Source organism: Homo sapiens, chromosome 6, assembly GCF_000001405.40.
Source record: "Homo sapiens chromosome 6, GRCh38.p14 Primary Assembly".
In the NCBI taxonomy this organism is placed as follows: domain Eukaryota; kingdom Metazoa; phylum Chordata; class Mammalia; order Primates; family Hominidae; genus Homo; species Homo sapiens.
In genome coordinates, this window is record NC_000006.12 from 8,406,953 (window position 1) to 8,411,434 (window position 4,482).

At 43.0% G+C, this 4,482-nt stretch overlaps 2 annotated features.

The window, feature by feature from the left end:
- Positions 789-958: an enhancer, noted in NCBI's record as "experimental_96077 CRE fragment used in MPRA reporter constructs". NCBI's record gives its function as "activates a minimal promoter by MPRAs in K562 erythroleukemia cells, with activity observed for both the introgressed and non-introgressed 6:8408059 or rs6905245 variant alleles {active_cell/tissue: K562}" and the evidence as "EXISTENCE:reporter gene assay evidence [ECO:0000049][PMID:34662402]".
- Position 874: a transcriptional cis regulatory region, noted in NCBI's record as "Neanderthal adaptively introgressed variant 6:8408059 (GRCh37/hg19 assembly coordinates) or rs6905245 in the experimental_96077 CRE". NCBI's record gives its function as "modulates activity of the experimental_96077 enhancer by MPRAs in K562 erythroleukemia cells {active_cell/tissue: K562}" and the evidence as "EXISTENCE:reporter gene assay evidence [ECO:0000049][PMID:34662402]".

The window sequence follows — 4,482 nt, forward strand, 5'->3', positions numbered from 1 at the left end:
AATTTGTTCAAGCAATGAAACCACATCTGGTACAGCAGCTGCAATTGGAGTCACCACGTGGTTAAGCTTGCGATAATCCACTGTCATTCTCCAAGATTCATCTATCTTCTGCAAATGCCAAATGGGAGATTTGAATGGGGATGTGGTGGGAATCACCACTCCTGAATCTTTCAAGTCCTTGATGGTGGCACTAATCTCTGCAATCCCTCCGGGGATGCGACATTGTTTTTGATTTACTAATTTTCTAGGTTAAGGCAGCTCTAATGGCTTACATTTGGCCTTTCCCACCATAAGAGCCCTCACCTTACCAGTCAGGGAGCCAATGTGAGGGTTCTGCCAGCTGCTAAGTATGTCTATGCCAATTATGCATTCTGGCACTGGCGAAATGACCAAAGGATGAGTCCGGGGACCCACTGGACCCACTGTCAGAGTTGAGCTTTATAAAACTCCATTAATTACCTGATCTCCATAAGCTCCTACTTTTAACTGGAGGACCACAATGACGTTTTGGGCCCCCTGGAATCAACATCAGCTCAGAGCCAGTGTCCAGTAGTCCCAGAAATGTCTGATCATTTCCTTTTCCCCAGTGCACAGTTACCCTGGTAAAAAGCCAGAGGTCTCCTTGGGGAAGGATGGGAGAAAGACTCACTGCATAAATTGTTGGTATGTAGTGGGGTCCTTCCTCAAGGGGGCCTGGCCTCCCCTTCATTCAAGGGGTTCTAGGTCTGTAAACTGGCTCAAGTCTGGAAATTGATTGAGGGGCCGTGATTCTCTGTTTTTATAATTCAAATTAGTCTTTTATCCATTCGATCTAGAAGTTTTCTCCTTGTATAAATTAACTAGAAATGCAGTAGGCTTCCTATCAATTTCACTACTAGGAACACCGTAATTAGCCAATGCCACAGCTCTACATGAGTCAGACTATTCTGATTGTTGCTTTGTCTCTGCTGTCCATTACGGATCCCTGCCACCTCGAGATCCAATTATTCTCATCGTATTTAAATTTTGTAGTTGAGTAACTGCGGTTCCCAGTGTCAGATCTGACATACAGAGAAGAGCAATTACAGGGGTCTTCAAAGATGCAGGTGCTGCCCTCACAAATCTATTTCGCAAGGCATTGGTCAAGGGTGTATCTTCTGGACCCTCCCAGCTGGGATGAGTAGGTCTAAAGTGGCTAATCCACTCTACCATCCCACACTCTCTAAGCCTTTGGATCCCTTCCTCTACATTAAACCAAGGGAGATCAGGCATTTCCAACTTGCTCACAGTGGGCCATCTTTTAATTCATATTTCAGCTAACCAAGCAAACAAACTACTAGAACCTTTTTTAACTCCCCAAGCTGCAACATTAAAATCAGAGTCCCTACTTAGTGGGCCCAAATCAATAAATTCAGCCTGATCCAACTCTATGTTCCTTCCACCATTTTCCCATACCTTTAATATCCATTCCCATGCCTGTTCTCCAGATTTCTGTTTATATAAATTAAAGAACTCAAAACAGTTCGAGTGTAGCACACCTCCTCATGGGTCACACTCTCAACCTCACCTCTAGGGGCCCGCTGGGACTTTATTCTAGTTATAGGTCTAGAAGCAAACAGGGGTATTGGGGGTGGCTCCAGAGGAGAATCAACATTATTTTGCCTGGCAACTGCCTCAAGGGAGGCCATCACTGTTTGCCTCAAGCAGTGCAGGACTTATTTCCTCAGTCAAAGGTGGAAACACTGATGGCAGCCTGGGTCAGCGAGGAGATGTTGCCGCTACTGGGGATGGGGAAGCTATTCCTTGTAGCAAAAAAGGTTCCTCAGGGTTTACAAACTCAGTGTTCCCAGCTTCATCAAGGTCCTCCCACACATCTCCATTCCAAGTTGCAGGATCCCATTCTTTTCCAATTAATGCCTCACTTTAACAGTAGACACCTGGCAAAGCTGTGCATGCACTTTTCATTGCAGGTCAGCCAGTCACATGATAAAAGCTTGTGTTTGTTTTTCCACAATTTCAGCTCTATCTCCACAGGAGAAAGACTCTGACTCAGTGCAATCTTAGCAGATTTGAGGCTCAGTATCTGCTTCTGAAGCCAGGAGACACAGTCCCTGAGTTCATCATTTTCTTTCATTACTTTGTCCACTGAACTTAGGAGTAATCAACCAGCTTCATTATGTTCCTTGGTTCTCCACATATGGTCAAAGGTATTATGTATAGAGTCACTAAACTCCTTGCCTCTCATGAGTGGTGAATCAGGAGTGTCAAATGCATTTATTTTGCATAACTCTTTAAACAGTTCAGGCCACAAGGACTATCAGTGTTCTCCATACTATTGGAAGTAGAGTCCTTAGCATTTTTGGGTTTAATCATATTAAGCAGCCAACCCCAGAAACCCCAAAACCAATGAAAGAACTCCATCCTTAATATTCTATTCCTCTAGAACCATTCCTGGTACCAAAATCTGTATTAGTCACAGTTCTCTAGAGGGACAGAACTAATAGAATATACATATATTTCTATTAAGAACTAATAGAAATATATATATATATATATTAGGGAGTTTATTAAGTATTAACTTACATGAACACAGGGTCCCACAATAGGCTGTCTGCAAGCTTGAGGAGCAAGTCCAAGTCTCAAAACTTTAGAACCTGGAGTCTGATGTACCAGGGTGGGAAGCATCCAGCATGGGAGAAAGATGTAGGCTGGGAGGCTAGGCCAGTCTCACCTTTTCCTGGGAGGCTAGGCCAGCCAGTCTTGTGCGTTTCTCTGCCTGCTTTATATTTGCTGGTGGCTGATTAGATGGTGCCCACCAGATTAAGGGTGGGTGTGCCTACCCCAGCCCACTGATTTAAATGTTAATCTCCTTTGGCAACACCCTCACAGACACACCCTGCATCAATACTTTGCATCCTTCAATCCAATCAAGTTGACACTCAGTATTAACCATCACATCACAGGTGAAGGACACACTCTCCACGAGACTGCCCTCACTTCAGAGAGCAGTTGCAAGCTTTGGGGTTCCCAGGCCATTCACTCTTCTGATAAATTGACTGCAAATTCAAGGGTTCTCATTATCCTTTCAGGTTCAACAATTCATGAGAATGCCTTACAAAACTCATGAAAGCATTGTACTTTCAATTTCATTATAAAGAATACAAATCAGGACCAGCCGAAAGAAGAGATCCATAGGGCAAGGTCTGGGAGGCTTGCAAACACTAAGTTTTTGTGTCCTGAGGACCATCACTGTCCTGGAACACCCATGTGTGTCATGAACCAGGGAAGCTCTTCTAACCTCAGTGTACAGTTTCTATTGGAGTTTCACCATGTAGCCCATAGGACTAACTGATTAAATCATTGTTCATGTGACTAAACTTAATCTTCAGCTTCCCTTCCATCCCTGAATGTTGGGCAGATATGACATGGCTCAAAGCCCCAACCCCACGGTCACATCCTTAGACTTCTCAGCATGGCCAGCCCCAACCCTGAAACTATCTAGGGACCAACCATGAATAACCACATTCCTATCAATTGGAAAATTCCAAGGACTTATAGGATCCCTCCCAAGAACCAGGGACAATGGTCAGCCAAACTCCTTGTTATGCAACATGGTTGTACTGAGAATTCTGGCTTGGCTGGCTTACTTCTAGGCCAATCTTAACATAGTGATCCACAGAAGCTGGCCAGTTAGATCTACTGGTTGTTGTTGTTGTTGTTGTTGCACTGAATATTATGCCATAAAATAAAACACAATATGGCAGAATTTAGAACATCATTTCTCCAGAATATTTTTGTTCTACTGGTGCTTGTTCTTTGATTAGTCTTGCATGACAGGTATTTAGTGAGTACCTACTGACAGGCACCTAATGTAAATACAGCTGAAGAAACAGTTTCTAGCTACATACTGCTTAAAACAAACACATCTACCTATATTTAACTAATGTCTCAATCAAATATCTCACAAATTCTTTACTTAGAAACCCTTCCTCATGCATTGTCTTAGTTTGGGCTGCTCAGGCTGATACAAGAAAGCACCATGGGCTGGGGGTCTAAGACAACAGAAACTTATTTCTCAGTTCCTGGAGACTGGAAGTCCAAGATCAGGGTGCCATCATGGTTATGTTCAGGTGAGGGCTCTCTTCGGGGTTGCAGACTACTGACTTCTTGTATCATCACATGGTGTAAAGAGGGCAAGAGAGCTCTCTGGGGTCTATTTTATAAAGGCGCTAATCCCATTCATAAGGCCTCCATTCTCAGTATACTTTCAAATGTTGATTTCTTTACTACAGAAATCATTCCACATTTCAGACTATTCATTACAAATAAGTGAGGTAAAGTTTACTTCCATCTAATGGCAAATGACAAAAGAAATGGAGTTTAAAGGGTATGACTGGCAACTAGTGATTTTTAAACAGTGCTGAATTGTTTAAAATTGGAGGGTGGAATGATGTTGGTAATAGGGAGACAGAGGTAAAATATTAGGAAAGTGTAGAGGCAAAA